The sequence below is a fragment of the Homo sapiens genome, chromosome 19 (assembly GCF_000001405.40).
Source record: "Homo sapiens chromosome 19, GRCh38.p14 Primary Assembly".
Classification (NCBI taxonomy): Eukaryota; Metazoa; Chordata; class Mammalia; order Primates; family Hominidae; genus Homo; species Homo sapiens.
The window spans coordinates 48,214,784-48,234,926 of record NC_000019.10 but is presented as its reverse complement, the minus strand read 5'-3'; the positions used below and the strand labels follow the sequence as shown (position 1 = coordinate 48,234,926).

General features: G+C 44.3%; 1 protein-coding gene across 20 annotated transcripts in view; it reads left to right on the top strand.

The window, feature by feature from the left end:
- The window catches only part of CARD8 (caspase recruitment domain family member 8), a 52,799-nt gene that overhangs the window by 21,020 nt on the left and 11,636 nt on the right, over nt 1-20,143 (top strand). For 5 of the 20 annotated variants that reach the window (NM_014959.5, NM_001184900.3, NM_001351782.2 and 2 more), the window contains 8 exons: nt 384-524; nt 2,434-2,474; nt 3,117-3,267; nt 3,921-4,150; nt 4,227-4,489; nt 13,072-13,197; nt 15,915-16,056; nt 19,543-19,587. In NM_014959.5, the coding sequence (NP_055774.2) occupies nt 384-524; nt 2,434-2,474; nt 3,117-3,267; nt 3,921-4,150; nt 4,227-4,489; nt 13,072-13,197; nt 15,915-16,056; nt 19,543-19,587 (1,139 nt within the window). Of the gene's footprint in view, nt 1-383; nt 525-946; nt 1,099-2,433; nt 2,475-3,116; nt 3,268-3,920; nt 4,151-4,226; nt 4,490-13,071; nt 13,198-15,914; nt 16,057-19,542; nt 19,588-20,143 lie in introns of all 20 variants that reach the window. The other 15 variants (NM_001351788.2, NM_001351789.2, NM_001184902.2 and 12 more) reach the window with 7 other exon arrangements.

Here is a 20,143-nt window from a genome sequence, read left to right as displayed (position 1 = left end):
AGGGAGACTACAAATTAGGAATCTCATCCTTTCCCTAAAATTCTTAGCAAGGTTATATAGGTCAACATACTTGTTGACCTATTATGAAACCAATGTTTGTGGCAAATGCTAGATGTTGAGAACTGACTGACGTCTGCTTCCTAGGATGGAAAGAGCAGCATATAGTGGGAAACAGAGAGCCAGTTAAATTTAACATAATGAGATGTAAGAAAGAGTCATGGGAGTCTGAGAGGTGAGATGGAGTCGTAGGGGCCTGAGGAATGACTTCCCTAAGATAAAATATTGAGTCTATGGCTATTAACATAAAATCTTCCTGCACAGCCTATGCTATCATCAGGCACCTACCTTATATTCATAGTAAAAATTCTGTTGTTGTTTTCCAGGGTATACAGGGAGCTACCCTGTGTTTCTGAGACCCTTTGTGACATCTCACATTTTTTCCAAGAAGATGATGAGACAGAGGCAGAGCCATTATTGTTCCGTGCTGTTCCTGAGTGTCAACTATCTGGGGGGGACATTCCCAGGTAAGAAAAGCTATTCCGTTGGAAAACTATTGGACGCTGTGTCTCAATATCACAGAGGAACATGAGAATTAGAGGAATTTGGGTGTTTTTCATCGAACTCAGGGGAGAATGAATGAGCTTATGCAATACTAGCAATGAATCCAGAAATTTTTGAAACAAACCTTAAGCAATGAGGTTTTCTTCCATGGAGGTGTCTAGAGAACCTATACACAAAAAGGCAATGAGCAATGCAATCGAAGACCAGTGGGTTATTGGTTAAGCTGTTACTCAATACATAAAACCAACCTAATTCTCTAGGAAACTGGCTGATGATGAGGCTGAAGGCCACAGTGGGGTCCTGAGGTTTAACACCGGGGAGGGGAGAATGCGTCTATTTGTAGGGTATGCCAATTTCCAAGGGTTGAATATCCCCATCATGGCAGATTTCAAACTACCAACGTGAAGCCCCTGATGAGGGAGTTGAAAGAACACATGCAGAAGTCTGTCATCCTGCTTTCACCACACAGATACAAGAGACATAAATAACCTCAAGGGCATAGACTGCTGAAAAGTGTAGAAAAATGACTGGAAATTGGTATGTTTTAATATGTATTACTTTTGTTTTTAATATGATTTATTTAAATGTTAGCTTGTATCATTTAATTTAGACTAATGGTTGTGTTGAACAACTTGGTTGCAAAAGCCCTGAAAATGGAACCGTCAGCTCTCATGATCTGGGATGCGCTGTCTGCAGTTCAGCGCTGGGTTCCTCCCACTTTCTAAACCCCTCCTCAGCAGGCAGACTCCAGCATGCACATGCACCAGGAAAGAGAATATAAAATGGCATGTTTACTCTTGCTGCTTTGCCTGTAGCTACCCGAATCCATAGCAAAATGTGTAGCCGCAGACAGCAACCAGTCTTAGGATGTCAGCCCAGGGGTCTCTCCATGCTTGGCTTGCCCACAGAATCCTTCCGAGAAAAGCGCTGTAAAGCCTTTCTCTTCATCCCACTTCTCTAGGTACCTGTTCTTTTTAAACCTAATCCACGTGTCAGTTTCTCTGCTGGTCTCTTTCACGTCGAAATAAACAGATATCTCAAGGAATGGATCAAAGGCAGAGAATTTGATGGAGTTGGTTGCCTTGCTCCAGAAGGTATCACCTGTGTTAGGGCAGGTTTCTCTCCAGAGGCATGACGAACCATTGGCTCACGCTGTATGTCATAGAACCCATATTGGCTAATATTGGAATCACCTGTGAGGCTTTGAAAGCGCCGATGCTTTGGTGCCACCTCCAGACTTCTGATTCAATTGATGTGGGCTGTGACCTGGTATTGGGTGGTTTTTAAAGCTTCCCAGGTGTGGTCAAGTTTGGAATTACCTTGGAATATAAATGCATACATTTTACGCATTGGTGAATTACTGCTTCAGTCTTTGATTCCGACATCGTATGATACCAATCGGAGCAATCAATTTAAGCCAGAGAATCTGGCTGTGTCCACATTGAACGTGGGCATAATACAAAGAGAAGAAGGAGAGATGTCAAGACACATTTGGCTCAAGGGAGTGTGTTATCTCTATTATTTATAAATGTGGATAAAAATATCTTCATTCAAAATGTCTTCTATTTCTTGATAGTCTAGATCCGCCCAGTCTAAGAGAACTTTCTGTGATGACGGGAGTGTTCCATTCTCTGCTACACAGTGTTATAGCCGTGAGTGATATGTAGCTGTTGAGCACTTGAAATATGGATAGTGCAACTGAGAAACTAAAGTTTACCTAAGTTTAATTCATACAAATTTAAATAGCATATCCGGGTAGCGGCTACTCTACGGGACAGTGCAGCTCTAGTTTTCAATAACATCGTCTTCATCTTCATCAACTGATTCTTGATGTTTTTCATCTTTTTGTAACATGGGGATCCCAACCTCCAGTGTATCAGAAGAGCAGGAATCTTCAGAGGGACAAGATTCAGGTAATGGGCTAATAGGGAGAGGAGTGAAGGGCGTGTGGATTGATGGAAATGTTCTGTGATTTTATGTGAAGAAGACAATTTAGAGTCTTTTGTGCAGATCAGGAGTGCTTTCCCTTACCTTTGCCACAGTGCACTGTGCAGTTTAAATGGGGACATGTAAGCCTGTCACTGCTGGGGCATGGAAATGCTCAGGGGAGTCAGTGGGTGGTCCTGGTGGCTGGGGACAGCAGCAGGGCCTAGGAAGGATGCACGCTCTTTCGCCTCTGCATCTTTGGAGTTCGATACTTTTCTGACCTGGACTTTCCTCACCAGCAGAAAGTGTCTTCTGCTATTTCGGACCAGTAGAAATGTAGGTGCATTGGTTCCAGTCCTCAGCAAATGGTGCCTCCCACCAAAGCTGTCCAGCCTGGCTTCCCAGAAAGTCTTATGGAATTTGGTGTATACGTTTAGTCATGACAAGGAACATTCTTGTGCCTTTCTTTGTCTGGATTCAAAGAAGCGAAACTGCATATTCTGGTCACTCTCAGCTCTCATTCGATATCTGTATCCCAACAGCACCTGTGCAATTCAGCCTCCAGGAGTCCTTCAGGCCATGCCTCTTCCAACCCTTTACCTCTTACATGTCTAGTATTTTCTTTTCAGGAGACATTTGCTCAGAAGAGAATCAAATAGTTTCCTCTTATGCTTCTAAAGTCTGTTTTGAGATCGAAGAAGATTATAAAAATCGTCAGTTTCTGGGGCCTGAAGGAAATGTGGATGTTGAGTTGATTGATAAGAGCACAAACAGATACAGGTAAGAATGGAAGATGCTGATGATTTGAAAACCACTCTGATATAAAGGAAGTGTGTAGGCCAGGCGTGGTGGCTCAGGCCTGTAATCTCGGCACTTTGGGAGGTGGAGGAGGGCGGATCACAAGGTCAGGAGTTCGAGACCAGCCTGGCCAACATGACGAAACCCTGTCTCTACTAAAAATACAAAAATTAGTCAGGCGTGGTGGCACCCGCGTGTAGTCCCAGCTAATCAGGAGGCTGAGAAAGGAGAATCTCTTGAACCCAGGGGGCAGAGGTTGCAGTGAGATGAGATCTCGCCACTGCACTGCAGCCTAGGAGACAGAGCGAGACTTTGTCTCAAAATAAATAAATAAATAAAAATATAAATACAAAAGGAAGCGTATCGGTTCCATCCCTTATGATAGCTAAAATTTCATCAATAATATGTTTATTTCATGCACTGTGAAGTTGGTATTTTAATTTCAACATATATAGAATGCAGAGAAATTGGGGCCCAGAGAGGTTAATGAACTCCCCAGCGTTTTCTAATGTAGTGAAAGTCGCAGATGGGTCCTGAACCTTGCCTCACTTCAAATCCCACCTCCCTCTGCACATCGCTGCTTAAATCCAAGTCCTGGGGTTCTCCCGTCATGACATCACTCTGGCTCCTTTCAGCGTTTGGTTCCCCACTGCTGGCTGGTATCTGTGGTCAGCCACAGGCCTCGGCTTCCTGGTAAGGGATGAGGTCACAGTGACGATTGCGTTTGGTTCCTGGAGTCAGCACCTGGCCCTGGACCTGCAGCACCATGAACAGTGGCTGGTGGGCGGCCCCTTGTTTGATGTCACTGCAGAGCCAGAGGAGGCTGTCGCCGAAATCCACCTCCCCCACTTCATCTCCCTCCAAGGTAATGTGGGGTGAGCGGAGGCTGTGGGGGCCGCTGGGGTGCGTGCCGTCTCACTGCTGTTGTGGTTCTCCTGCAGCAGGTGAGGTGGACGTCTCCTGGTTTCTCGTTGCCCATTTTAAGAATGAAGGGATGGTCCTGGAGCATCCAGCCCGGGTGGAGCCTTTCTATGCTGTCCTGGAAAGCCCCAGCTTCTCTCTGATGGGCATCCTGCTGCGGATCGCCAGTGGGACTCGCCTCTCCATCCCCATCACTTCCAACACATTGATCTATTATCACCCCCACCCCGAAGATATTAAGTTCCACTTGTACCTTGTCCCCAGCGACGCCTTGCTAACAAAGGTAAGCTGAGTGATTTAGGAGACCAGAGAAGATGACGATTATATTTCCAGGTTATCCCCTTGGCCCCTCCAGTTCCTCGTGGAACAGAAAGGGCAAGGCATGGTTTTCATGGACAGAAGCAGGAGTCACCCTTCCTGAGGTTCATCCAAGGTGCTGACTCTGGAGCTATGTGCTTCCCTAACCATCTTCAGTAGTGATTCAGTGCTACTGAAAAAGGAAATTCCCTTTTCTGGCTCTCAAGAAGGAGAAAGTTAGTGATTTTGGGGGACCAGCTGACAGAGAAGATGCAGAGATTTTTTCACCAGGTTGTTTTTTTCTTTTTTTAGAGACAGAGTCTTACTCTGTCACCCAGGCTGGAGTGAACTGGCGCAATCTTGGCTCACTGCAACATCCACTTCTCGGGTTCAAGCGATTCTCCTGCCTCAGCCTCTTGAGTAGCTGGGATTGCAGGTGCCCGCCACTATGCCTGGCTAATTTTTGTATTTGTAGTAGAGACGGGGTTTCACCATGTTGGCCAGGCTGGTTTTGAACTCCTGACCTCAGGTGATCCACCTGCCTTGGCCTCCCGAAGTGTTGGGATTACAGGCGTGAGCCACCACCCCTGGCCTCTCACCAAATTTTAAATGGATAATATGTGAATTACACTGACAGGCACACTCACATCTCTGGAGTAACCCTCCTCCTGTTCAGTAGCATCTCCCTCTAATGCACTTATTAAAGGCTCATATTCCCACACTCTCTTCTGAGTTAGTGATGAAGCAGACGTGCTGGTTGCTGTAGCTGCTGTGCACCTGGATAAAGTCCCACTTCTGTCCTTCCAGCCTAGGTGGGGCGATTATGCCAGAAAGATTACATTAAATTGTATCGTCCCCCCGTCTAATGCTCCAACATCCCAAGAATGAGAGGCAGGTGCCTGCCTGTCAGGACTTAGGGTGGTGAGTAACTGTGGGTACTTAAATACAGGAGAAAACATTTTAATCTGAATGATAAAGATGACTATTCCTAGAGTGGGCCAGAAATACATACATTCCAGTGAATTCTTGCATAACTTCTGTTTTCATTCTGAGCCCACCCTTTTCCTATCCTTCACTTAGTGCCTCTTCTTTCATCATTCCCAAATCTCATATGCTTACTTGCTTCATACCTTATTGATATACTAGAAACAAAATGGGATGGAAAAACCTCATTGTTTCACTGTCAGCTCTGTGAGCCTGTTTCTGGCCCGTCTTCACCTATTTCTTTCCTCTGAAACCCAAGAAGCCTCCTTGTTCTTTTTCTTTTCTTTTCTTTTTTTCTTTTTTGAGACAGAGTCTTGTTCTGTTGCCCAGGCTAGAATGCAGTGGCAATTGCGGCTCACTGAAACCTCCGCCTCCCGGGTTCAAGCGATTCTCCTGCCTCAGCCTCCCGAGTAGCTGGGATTACGGATGTGTGCCACCACGTCCTGGTAATTTTTGTATTTTCAGTAGAGGTGAGGTTTCACCATGTTGGCCAGGCTAGCCTTGAACTCCTGACCTAAAGTGATGCACCCACCTCAGCCTCCCGAAGTTCTGGGATTACAGGCATGAGCCACCGCGCCCGGCCGCCTCCCTCTTCGTACACAAGGACACTACTTAACATGAGTCTTGGGTCCCTTTCCCTCTTCCCTTATGTGGGAGCCACACCCGAGGCATCCTCTTTCCCCTCCACCGTCAATCTCTCCTACCCTAGGGCATCACTCCCTTCCACCCGCCAAAATCTAGAATGGCCCCCACATTGGAAATGCTGTCCTTGACTGCTCTCCCTCCTGCAGTCATACTTCCAATTTTTCCCTTATGCTTCTCAATGAATGGATCAACAGCTCCATGTACCCGAAGTCTCCATATTCCTCAGTTCTCACTCTGTTCCCAGATCTCTCTGTGTGGATGACCTTGCCACCCTTCCTTAGAATGGCTCTGTTTAGCGTCACCCAGTCAGTGACTTTGTGTCAACTCATTCTTACCTGGGGTCTCAGTGGAATGCTATTCCACTGACCACGCTCTTCCTTGGAAACACTCTTCTATAACAGCAGTTCCCAACCTTTTAGGCACCAGGAAGTAGTTTTGCAGAAGACCATTTTTCCACAGACCAGGGTGGTGAATGGTTTTGGGATGATTCAAGCACATTAAAGTTATTGTGCACTTTATTTCGATTATTATTACATTGTAATATATGATGAAATAATTACACAACTCACCATAATGTAAAATCAGTGGGAGCCCTGAGCTTCTTTTTCTGCAGCTAGATGGTTCCATCTGGGGGTAATGGGAGACACTTACAGATCATCAGGCATTAGATTCTCATAAAGGGCGTGCAACCTAGATCCCTTGCATGGGCAGTTCACAGCAGGGTTCACGCTCGTATGAGAATCTGATGCCACTGCTGATCTGACAGGAGGAGCTCAGGCGGTAATGTGAGTGATGGGGAGTGGCTGTAAATACAGATGAAGGTTTGCTCCCTCACTGCTCCTCTCCTGCTGTGCAGCCCGATTCCTAACAGCTCACACACTGGTACTGGTCTGCGGCCCGGGTGTTGGGGATCTCTGCTCTATATGATCCTGCGACACCATATTATCCCAATTTCCCTGTGACTTTTCTTTTCTTTCCTTTTTTTTTTTTTTGTGATGGAGTCTAGCCCTCTCACCCAGGCTGGAGTGCAGTGGTGTGATCTCGGCCCACTGCAACCTCTGCTTCCTGGGTTCAAGTGATTCTCCTGCCTCAGTCTCCTGAGTAGTTGGGATTACAGGCACACACCACCACACCTGGCTAATTCTTGTATTTTTAATAGAGATGGGGTTTCACAGTGTTGGACAGGCTGGTCTTGAACTCCTGACCTTGTGATCTGCCCGCCTTGGCCTCCCAAAGTGTTGGGATTACAAGCATGGACCACTGCTCCTGGCATCTCCGTGACTTTTCTGAGTCTCTCCTCAAATCGCCTCTGCAGGTTCTTGCTCTGAAACCTTCTCTGAATATTGAGTTTCCAGGGCTGAATCTTGGACTCTCCTTTCTCTTTTCTGTCTTCACTGACGGACTTGATGAATTCTTCGTCTCGTAACTGAATTCCCCACAAGCAGAGGATTTCTCAGTCTATATCTCCAGTCCTGAACATTCTCCAGAGCTCCAACTTGGAACCGCCAACCTCCCCTCTCCATATGAGTGTTTATTTGGCATATCTAATTGTATATATTGACTCAACTTTCTCCCTTTAAGCGATTTATTCAACTCTCTTCCCCATTCAGGGTAGAGACTAAATTTCATTGAGTCATTCAAGCCATACTCTAGTGTTCATCTTTAATTCCTCCACTTATTTTCTTTTCTTTCTTTTTTTTTTTTTTTGAGACGGAGTCTTGCTGTGTCACCAGGCTGGAGTGCAGTGGTGCAATCTCAGCTCACTGCAACCTCTGCCTCCCAGGTTCAAGTGAAGTGATTCTCATGCCTCACCGGGATTATGGTGTCTGCCACCACGCCCAGCTATTTGTATTTTTTTATTTTATTTATGTATTTATTTTTTAGTAGAGACAGGGTTCACCGTGTTTGCCAGGCTGGTCTTGAACTCTTGACCTCAAGTGATCTGCCCCCCTCGGCCTCGATTTCTTTTCTTTCCCACATCCAGCATCTCATCAATTTTGATTCTTTTCATTTTCATAGCATAACTTGAACCAGTTTTACTCCGTTCAGCTTCACTGCCAGCTTTAGTGCCATCCACTGCCATTTTTGCTAGAAATATGGATAAAGTCTTCAAGCTTATCTCACTGGTTCCATTGTTTTTCATTTACCACCTATTTTTAAAATCTAGGAACAGGGAGATTTTTTGCAAAATAAGTAATACCCCCATTACATGCAATTGGCCCATACAACAAATCTGCACATGTACTTCTTGAACCTAAAATAAATGATGGGGCTGGGCATGGTGGCTCATGCCTATAATCTCAGCACTTTGGGAGGCCGAGGCAAGCAGATCACTTGAGGCCAGGAGTTCGAGACCAGCCTGGCCAATATGGTGAAACCCCATCTGTACTAAAAATACAAAAAATTAGCTGGATGTGATGGCACATGCCTGTAATCCCAGCTACTTGGGAGGTGGAGGCATGAGAATTGCTTGAACCCAGGAGGCAGAGGTTGCAGTGAGCCAAGATTTTGCCACTGCACTCCAGGCAACAGAACGAAACTCTGTCTTAAATAAATCAATAAATAAAATAAATGTTGGAAAGAAAAAAAATTAAAATTTTTTAATTCTAATACACTTAAAAAATACATTACTACATCACACTTTGGCCAAAGATTCTTTAATGGATTCACGTTACACTTAGAACATGAATCAAATAATTTACTATGGCCTAGAGGCCATGGCTTTTTTTTTTTTTTTTTTTGAGACGGAGTCTTGCTGTGTCCCCCAGGCTGGAGTGCAGTGGGCGTGATCTCAGCTCACTGCAACCTCCGTCTCCCAGGTTCAAACAATTCTCCTGTCTCAGCCTCCTGAGTAGCTGGGACTATAGGCGCACGCCACCATGCCCGGCTAATTTTCGTATTTTTAGTAGAGACACGGTTTCACCATATTGGTCAGGCTGGTCTTGAACTCCTGACCTCAGGTGATCCACCCGCCTCAGCCTCCCAAAGTGCTGAGATTACAGGTGTGAGCCACTGTGCCCAGCTGAAGCCATGACTTCTTGTGACCCTAGAACATCTCAGTTATCCATCTCCTATCACTCTCTTCTCACTCATTATGTTCCAGCACTTCTGTCCTGAATTTTCATCCCTCAAATACTCCAAGAATTCCTGCTTCTGGGCTCTTACCCTTTGTGTTTCCCTTGCAAGACTGGCTCCTGCTCATCTTTCTAGTCTCTTTCTAGTCTTTGCCTAAAGATTTCTGCTTCCGAAAGCCTTTAGTAGGCCCTCTAGTCTGGTCCATCCCTCCCTTTATTTATTTATTTTTGAGAAGGGGTCTTGCCCTGTCGCCCAGGCTGGAGTGCAGTGCCACAGTCGCAGCTCACTGCAACCTCTGCCTACCGGGTTCAAGCGATTCTCCTGCCTCAGCGTCCCGAGTAGCTGAGACTACAGGCATGCGCCACCACACCCCACTAATTCTTGTATTTTTAGTAGAAATGGGGTTTCACCATGTTGGCCAGGCTGGTCTCAAACTCCTGACCTCAAATGATCTGCCCACCTCAGCCTCCCAAAGTGCTGAGATTACAGGTGTGAGCCACCGTGCCCTCCAGTTCTCCCATTGTTCTTGATCACTGTACCCTCTTCTTTCCCTCTGTTGTGGTCACATGTCTATTTATTTATGATCTGCTTCTCTGTAAATTGTGTACTCTATATCATGGGCAGGACCATTTCTGTTTAATCATAAATTAGTTAAAAGCACAAGGAGGGCCGGGTGCGGTGGCTCACACCTGTAATCCCAGGACTTTGGGAGGCCGAGGTGGGCGGATCACGAGGGCAGGAGATCGAGACCATCCTGGCTAACACGGTGAAACCCCGTCTCTACTAACAATACAAACAATTAGCCGGGCACGGTGGCAGGTGCCTGTAGTCCCAGCTACTCGGGAGGCTGAGGTGGGAGAATGGCTGAACCTGGGAGGTGGAGCTTCAGTGAGCCGAGATCGCACCACTGCACTCCAGCCTGGGCGACAGAGCGAGACTCCATCTCAAAAAAAAAAAAAAAAAGCACAAGGTGAGGCCTGTTGTAGGTACCTCTTGAAATTTTGTTGACCCATTGAATGAAAAGTGGTCTGTCTGCTTCTTCCCTATTCAGGGTAGGATAAGGGAAGAAGAGAGGAGAAACCTCTTCTTCACTTCAAACCATAATCAAACTCTAAATATCTATTGTTGCACTGAGAACTTCCCTGCCCTATTTCAAGAGCAGCACAGTTCAACTCTATAACCACTGGCCAGCTATAGGCTTGAATGGCCGGCAATAGCATGTGGCTATTGAGTATGTGAGTTGAGATGTACTCTAAAACTTAAGTATTTAAGTTTTAATACACATATTAATACACATACACAGATTTGGAAGACAATATGAAGGGAAGCACATAAATAGCAATTATTTTTTGTGTTGGTTACATGCCTAAATGATATTGTGAGTTAAATGAAATACATTACTAAAAGCCATTTCATCTGCCTCTCTTTGCTGTTTTTAAAAAATGTGGCTGCTATGAAATTAAAAATTGCATTTGGTCACGCCTGTAATCCCAGCACTTTGGGAGGCCGAGGTGGGCGGATCTTGAGGTCAGGAGTTCGAGACCAGCCTGACCAACATGGTGAAACTCCGTCTCTACTAAAAATACAAAAATTAGCCGGGCGTGCTGGCATGCGCCTGTAATCCCAGCTACTCAGGAGGCTGAGGCAGGAGAATCGCTTGAACCTGGGAGGCAGAGGTTGCAGTGAGCTGAGATCACACCACTATACTCCAGCCTGGGTGACAGAGCGAGACTCCATCTCAAAAAAAAATTGCATTTGGGGGTTGCAGTACATTTCTATTCAACAGTACTGTTCCAGGGAAACCCATTTATTCATCCAATAAATATTTGTTGTGTGCCTTATATATTCCAGACACTATTTTAGAGGCTGAGGATACATCAGTGAACAAAAGAGGCAAAAACATGACAACCAAAGATATTACATGGAATGCTATAGGAAAAATATATGTGCATATGATAAGAACTATAACAAATAAAGAAGGTTAAGAAAATTAATCCAGTGGTATGTCTCTCAACACCTACAGAAATCTGTCCGTAATCATAACCCTAGCAATGTGATATGGATTTATTTGGTGATTTAGTTCTAATCTGTTATTACTATAATTTAATTTAAACATATCTGTTCATGTAAAAGAATTGTTCATCAGAGATGGTATGATATGTTATTTCTTTCCCCCATCAGTTTCTTTTGACCCTTCGGAAACTGGTTCTTTTTCTAAACATATATGTGATGCCTCCTGGATAGTTCTCCACATCCCTTCTCTGCCTTACCCCCATCATAGTTTCATCTCTTTGCTCAATACAATATGAAATTTTTCTTTTATTTGATTTCCCAGGCCCAATTCAGGTTTTCTCCATGGGCCATCCTTTTCTTCATAGAGATCTGCTGACATTTCTTTATTTCTTTTTTTTTTTTTGAGACAGAGTCTTGCTCTGTCGCTCAGGCTGGAGTACAGTGGTGCGATCCCGACTCACTGCAAACTCTGCCTCCCAGGTTCATGCGATTCTCCTGCCTCAGCCTCCCGAGTAGCTGGTATTATAGGCACTCACCACCACGCCCAGCTAATTTTTGTATTTTTAGTAGACATGGGGTTTCACCATGTTGTCCAGTCTGGTCTCGAACTCCTGACCTCAGGTGATCTGCCTGCCTCGGCCTCCCAAAGTGCTGGGATTACAGGCATAAGCCACTGCACCTGGCCTCTACTTTTAATGAAATATGTACATAATTTATTGCTTCATAATTTTCATAGTTGACACACTCACATATGCAGCACCTAGAACAGGCAACAAGACATCACCAGCTTCCCCAAAGTCCCCTTGTGTCCCTCTTGGTCATTATCCTGCAAGGGAGTCGATCAGCTGGACTAATAATATCACTGACAGTCATTGTTTTTAGCATAAATTCCTTGCTCATTAATTCTACAAAGTCTCTATTGAGTTGTACCTGAGACTTCCCAAAGGTAGAAAGGTTTTGTTTGAATTCCATTCTGTGTCTTTGATGGCTGCTCAGATAGATTTTTTTTTTTTTTGGTGAGACAGAGTCTCGCTCTGTCGCCCAGGCTGGAATGCAGTGGCGCAATCTCGGCTCACTGCAATCTCTGCCTCCTGGGTTCAAGTGATTCTCCTGCCTCAGCCTCCAGAGTAGCTGGGATTACAGGCGCCCGCCACCACGCCCGGCTAATTTTTATATTTTTAGTAGAGACGGGGTTTCGCCATGCTGGCCACGCTGGTCTCAAACTCCTGACCTTGTGATCTGCCCACCTCGGCCTCCCAAAGCGCTAGGATTACAGGTGTGAACCACCGTGCCTGGCTGCTTAGAGATAGTTTTGAGGTCTCGCTTTCTGCTGTGGCTGCTGGGCCTCGCAGAGGTGACTGTTTCTGCTCGCTGGTGGTCAGGTGATTGAGCATCTCACAGCAGCCCTGTGACGGAGAGAAGTAACATCTCTACCCTTGTCCATCATAGACGTGTTCACAGACACAGCTGAGCTACCAGTTCTCTGCTGAGGCACCAAAAAGAAGTCCTTCTGTCCTGTGCTTTCATAAGTACGCAGCCAATCTTTCCACAGTGTAAAAATAAAAGCAAACTATACAAGAATTTATAAGTTCACATTCACAAGAAATCCTTTGGCCCTGAGATATCTTTCAGTAAAATTTCATCAATATGTCTCTTTGTGCATAGAGACATATTCATTCATATCTGTGTATCTACCTATCACAATCTTTATATCAGTTGAATACCTTAATCTTTATATCAATTGAATCATAGCCTACGTGCTACTTAATATACCATATAAATAACTTTTTATGCCACTACTTGCTTTACTATTTTTTGTGCTCTCTAATGTTTCTGCCCCTTCTTCCTTAGGCGATAGATGATGAGGAAGATCGCTTCCATGGTGTGCGCCTGCAGACTTCGCCCCCAATGGAACCCCTGAACTTTGGTTCCAGTTATATTGTGTCTAATTCTGCTAACCTGAAAGTAATGCCCAAGGTTAGTAGAATTCAAACCCAACTCAGCAGGTTTCAGAGTGTTTTATATTTCTGAAACAAATGGAAGAATCTTAGCAAAATGCAACATTTTTCTTTTATTAATCACAAATATGCCCTTTAAAAAAATTGAAATTATAGAAAAATAGTATTAATCATATTGCATATTTCCAAGACCCTAAGGCAGAGGTAACATTTTAGTATTTGACATACTTATGTTAGGTTAAAACTACACATTGAGTTTCCCAAACTGAAATTTCCATTTCCCTGTTATAATTATCTTCAGTCCTGATGTCTTGCCTAACTAACGCACTTAATATGTATTTGTTAAGGTAGTTGAAGGAAGAGCTGATTTTATGTTATATATTTCATTTTATATATTTTTAAATGGAGATTACTATATAATTCTGTGCAATTTAAATTATTCCTACATACAGATTTACTGGGACATGATATGCCATGTAGCGAAATCCCTAGAGCTTTTTTCATTATTTCATGATTATTCAACATTTAGTCGCATGTAATTTCTCCCAAGAAGTGCCCTGGCAAGAAGTCTTTCCATTCATATGGTTTTACATTTTTCCTGCAGGGCTAGAGTGTCCTAAATGAAATTACTGATTCAAAGAGTATTAACCAACTTAAAGCTAGTATATTTCCAAATAGATTTCCTTCCTTCCTTCCTTCCTCTTTCTTTTTTCCCTCTTTCTCTCTTTCTTTCTTTCTTTTTCTTTCTTTCTTTCCTTCCTTCCTTCCTTCCTTCCTTCCTTCCTTCCTTCCTTTCCTTTCCTTTCTTTCCCTCTTTCTCTCTTTCTTTCCTTCTTTTTTGATGGAGTCTCGCTCTGTTGCCCAAGCTGGAGTGCAGTGGTGTGGTCTTGGCCCACTACAACCGCCGCCTCCCAGGTTCAAGTGATTCTCCTGCCTCAGCCTCCTGAGTAACTGGGATTACAGGCATGCACCACCACTCCCGGCTGATTTTTTATTTTTAGTAGAGACGGGGTTTCACCATGTTGGCCAGGCTGGTCTCGAACTCCTGACCTCGTGATCTGCCCACCTTGGCCTCCCAAAGTGCTGAGATTACAGGCTCGAGCCACCACACCTGGCCCCAAATAGATTTTCAAAGATGTCTCACAGCATATGTTCTCTAAAATAAAGATGAGGTTGTCCAGCACAATATACCATCTCTAGAACAAAGTATCAAGATTTAATTGTTTTCCAGTTTTAATGGGAAAACACATCCCAGTGATTTCAAGGTCTTTAATTCAGAATGGGACGGACCAATGTTATTGTTTTGGCGTAGATGGCTTTTTCCTGTTTGCGGACCTTGGAAGAGGTGAGAAACAAGAGGGTTAGGTGTCAGTATTTACATGTCTCCTTTTTGGACACTAAGGCTAAAATAGGAAAAATGATTTTTCCAGCCATATAGACAACAAGATGTGAAGCTTATTGCAGACATCAGTTCAGTGATCTTTTTCTAAGTATACTAGAGCATAAGAATTTAATAAAGTGCCCAACCTTGCTCTGATTTTAGTTCCCAGTTTCCTTGATAAACTCCACAGCAATTAATATGAAGCAGGGACTGCCTTCCCCAGAAGTTTGGTTGTCCTTCAGGCAAGATACATTCTTGGCTGTTGCAGAACCTTCCATAAACATTGCTGATATAGAAATAAATAAATAAAATGCAGGGTATTTCATCCAGAATGATACAACATAGTAAATGTGAGATAAGAAGTGGCAATTGCAACCTGAGGTGATAATCTTTTTTTGAGACAGAGTCTTACTCTGTCGCCCAGGCTGGAGTGCAGTGGCGCAATGTCTGCTCACTGCAACCTTCTTTCCCTGGGTTCAAGCGATTCTCCTGCCTCAGCCTCCTGAGTAGCTGGGACTACAGGCACCTGCCACCACGCCTGGCTAATTGTTGTATTTTTAGTAGAGATGGGGGTTTCAACATATTGGCCAGGCTGGTCTTGAGCTCCTGACCTCAAGCAATCGGTCACCTCAGTCTCCCAAAGTGCTGGGACTACAGGTGTGAGTCACCGCGCCCGCCCTAGAGGTGATGATCTTGAGCGAGGTAAACTCTCCTCAGAGTCATCTTCCATTTAAAAAGATTCCAGCCAACAATCTCACCCTTTGTAATTTTTTAAATCCCTATTTTCCAAGAGCTGGGTCGGGGGGCTTGTTTTCTGAAGAAACTAGAGATTTGCATGAGCTAAGCTTTTCCTAATTCTGTCCTGCATAAGGGGCTTTCTTGCTCCCCAGGGCAGCTTTTTTTAGGAATCCTGGGGAGACTGGGTGCAAAACAGAGAGGGACCTGAAATGGCTTATCTGACCCCGGCTTCCCAGCGAGGCTCAGAGAGACCTGATGGGGCTGCTTTGGAAGCTTTCTTGCTTCTCTATAGAATCTCGGATTCTGAGCTGGTCGCATCATTAATGAGGGGCCTCAAAACCCTCAAAATCTAAGACGTTTGTATTCAGTTGGTAGCTCAGATAGTTTTTCTCTGACTCATGTGGTGTTGACAGCTAGGTTATTCTTCCCTTCCTGGTATAAAAGCATTTCCTAACATTGTAAATGTAAAGAGCTGTTTACCTCTCTCCCTCTGTTTCCCACTCAACCAGCCATGACATTGCACAGGAAACGGGTTAAGTTCCATTGGCCAGTTCACTGTAGGGAGCCGGGCCTTTCCACCCTCCACTGCTTCAAGTCAACTGATGTGTTTCCTCTAGGAGTTGAAATTGTCCTACAGGAGCCCTGGAGAAATTCAGCACTTCTCAAAATTCTATGCTGGGCAGATGAAGGAACCCATTCAACTTGAGATTACTGAAAAAAGACATGGGACTTTGGTGTGGGATACTGAGGTGAAGCCAGGTAGGTGAGTGGGCGAGGCTGGCATTTTTAGACAGGGATCCATCATGTACCTCTATCCTTGGATTTCAAAGAAGAAATCTTGTTTATGGTTCTTTCCCAGAGAAGAAAAGAAATCTATTGTCAGTGTTAAAACACATGGACACAGGGAGGGGAACAACACACACTGGGGCCTTTTGGGTGATGTGGGAAGGGAGAACATCTAGATAAATAGCTAAAAGGCCAGATACGGTGCCTCATGCCTGTAAACCCAGAACTTTGGGAGGCCGAGGGGGGAGGATCACCTAAGGTCGGGAGTTCGAGACCAGCCTGCTCAACATGGTGAAACCCTGTCTCTACTAAACATACAAAATTAGCCAGGTGTGGTGGTACATGCCTGTAGTCCTGGCTACGTGGGAGGCTGAGGCAGGAGAATCACCTGAACCCAGGAGGGGGTTGCAGTGAGCCAAGATTGTGCCACAGCAGTCCAGCCTGGGCAATAAGAGCGAAACTCCATCTGAAAAAAAAAAAAAAAAAAAAAGAAGAAGATAAATAGCTAATGCGTGCAGGGCTTAATATCTAGGTGATGATTTGATAGGTGCAGCAAACCACCATGGCACATGTTTACCTTTGTAACAAACCTGCATGTCCTCCACATGTATCCCAGAACTTAAATTAAATTAAAAAAAATAGTTTGAATAAAATAAAATGTTCTTGCCAAAAAAGAAAAAAAAAAGAGAAATCTATTGTCAGTGTATTATCAGTGTGATAACACAACAATGGTGGCATTTGTTCATCTCTAGGAAGTGAAATGCTCAAGGGGCCTGGGAGAGGGGTGGAAACCCTCGAACCTAGGGGGTAAAGAACAGAAGATTCTAAGAGTCAGAAGAAACATAAGGACTATTTAGTTCCACTTTCTTCACAATTTAATCATTTCTTCCATACTCATGCTTTTCATTTTCGGGGTGTCATATTCCCTGAGGTAATCTGTTAAAAAGTTCTGGAAAATGTTTTATCCATTCACAGAAGCTCAACATCATAAACACAATTTTTTAAAGTTTAGAAACTCCCAGACAATTTGCCAAAGATCTCCTGATAGTTCCTTGAATCTCTGGAGATACATTTATATCTCCAATACATTTGTAAAATGCCATGCTCTGTTTGAATAACTACAATGATGCAGAAATCAGTATCTTCAATAGTAGCAGATCCTTGTCTTGGGTAACACAGCATGAAAAATTTCAATGAAGCTCTATGAAGGGAAGGATATTAACATTTGCATAGGAGCTATAAATCGCTTTAACCTTTTATGTAGTTGTATGGGCACAGATTAATTTTAAAACAAGTCTCTTGAACAAAAAGTCACTTTTAGAATTCCATACTATAACATAAAAGCACCCATATGAAGATAAGTTGTATGCAGTGATATTATTTGAGGCATTGTCTGTGGTGGGAAAAAAATGAAACCAAACTGAATGCCCAGGAAGAAGGACATAGTTGAACAAATGTGTGAGTACATGTTGTGGAATGGTTTTCAACAATTTCAACTGAGTTTTGCCTGTTGCTGCTGTTGTATTTTAGTAGTTTGGGGCAATATTGTCACAGTGTTGACTGTGTAGACCAGGAGTCCCCAACCCCCGGGCTAGGGACTGGTACCGGTCTGTGGCCCGTTAGAAACCGGGTTGCACAGAGGAGGTGAGTGGACGGTGAGCAGGCGAAGCTTCATCTGTGTTTACAGCTGCTCCCCATTGCTTGCATTACCGCCTGCGCTCTGCCTCCTGTCGGATCAGTGGTGGCATTACATTCTCGTAGGAGCGCGAACCCTATTGTGAACTGTGCAGGCGAGGGATCTAGGGTGCATGCTCCTTAGGAGAATCTAACACCTGATGATCTGTCACTGTCTCCCATCACCCCGAGATGGGACCACCTAGTTGCAGGAAAACAAGCTCAGGGCTCCCACTGATTCTACATTATGGTGAGTTGTTTGTATAGTTATTTCATTATACATTACAATGTAATAATAGAACTTAGGTGCACAATAAATGTATTGCACTTGAATCATCCTGAGACCATCCCCTCCCTCTCCAGTCCGTGGAAAAAATTGTCTTCCACTAAACCGGTCCCAGGTGCCAAAAAGGTTGGGGACCACTGGTGTAGACTGTCTGCTCTTTGTGGTCCTCAGTCACTGATCTTCCTTCCTCCACTGAATCCTCACAATCCCATCACCTTCCTTTCCCTGCAATGGTGTCTAGAGTTCAAGATCAGCTTCATGGCTGTGCCTCCCCTTCTCTGGGCAAACTGCCCTCTTGTTGAGGCGGTGCACATGAGCTGGGACTGCACTTGGAGTTTCCAGGCACATTGCAGGGTTGGATGATGCTCAGCCGACCCAGGCCTCATCTCCACATGAGTAGCATCTCATGAGTGCACCTCCACATGCACCCTCCCCGCCTCCTCCCTCCAGTCGGTAAAATGTCTTAGCATCTCAGATTGTCAGAGTTTTGTTTGTGCAACTTCTTAGCTCTCCTTGTGATGTTTAATATGCGAAGAAGCCGTGCAGATGTCGGATTCCCCATTGCCTGCATTATCAGTGGCTAGAATGCAATCTAGTTCACAGCCAACATGCAATACATATTTTGAGTAAGCAAATGCCACCACACTCTCCATTTCTCTGTAAACATCAGAATATTTTTACATTGTTTACTTTTTTATTTAAAAAAGATTTTTTCCAGGTGTCACAATCATGCTTTTTTTTTTTTGATAGCAAATTCTAGATGAAATGGGGGAGATTGTGGATGGCTGGGTCTTGGATGAGTATGCTGGTTCAAGGCAGCTCATGTTCTGCCCAGAAGTCAAATGACCAGAAACTCAATTGTGAGACCTCACAGGAGATGGGAAGCTCATATTTATTCTGTCTTGGTGACATGGTGACTGAGCTGCTGCCAAAGGTGGGGTGGGGGGGGCATGTTGCAAAATTCATCTGAACTTTGAAAACATCAAGGAGTCTAGATGAAAGTGCAAAACCACATTGAAGGCATCATGGGAAATTTTTTTAATTATTTTCCAAAATGGTAGCTCCAATTAGCAAATCTTCTATCAACTTATAAGGGTACCCAAATTTCTGCACCATCAACAGTCTTGGTACAATCACATCCAAAAAACACGTGTTTTAATTAACTCATGTAATGTTGTTATTTCATGTCTAAAACACTTTGACTGTAATTTATGTAGCACTGTATGATATGTTTTTGTAGCCCCATAGTTCCTAAGATATTGGCCTGCAAGTTGAAAGAAATTGGAAAAATGTGTTTCTTCCTCCGATGCCTTTTCTGAATTGTCAGTGAGTGACCCACAACTTAATGGGGTTTCCTCAGTGTATTAGTGTGCAAAACAAGAGCCTTATGACATATGTAGAATTAAATTATTTCAGTTGGTTGCATCAAAGACTAGAAAAGCTAAATAAGGGTACATGATTTATCTCATCTCATCATATAATTTTTCCCTCTTTTGTAGTGGATCTCCAGCTTGTAGCTGCATCAGCCCCTCCTCCTTTCTCAGGTAAGTGAAATGTTTACATTAAAGCCAAGGGTATGTATGAGACATCAAGGGGTCTTTGAGTGACAGTGGAAGGTATCCAAGTGACATGGCACCAGAACGTTACTGGCAGCAAATCCGTATAGGTCTGCAGCAACCTCAATTCTTGCCTCCTTAGAAGACAGAATTTGACTGAGGGGCATAAGGCAGAAGGAGAGACCGAGGCAAGTTTTAGAGCAGGAGAGAAAGTTTATTAAAAAGCTTTACAGCAAGAGGCCAGGCGCAGTGGCTCACGCCTGTAATCCTAGCACTCTGGGAGGCCGAGGCAGGTGGATTGCTTGAGCTCAGGAGTTCGAGACCAGCCTGGGCAACACAGTGAAATCCCCATCTCTACTTAAATACAAAAAATTAGCCGGGCGTGGTGGTGGGCACCTGTGGTCCCAGCTACTCGGGAGGCTGAGGCAGGAGAATGGCTTGAACCCGGGAGGCAGAGGTTGCAGTGAGCTGAGATCGCACCACTGCACTCCAGCCTGGGCGACAGAGCAAGACTCTCGGTCTACAAAAAAAAAAAAAAAAAAAA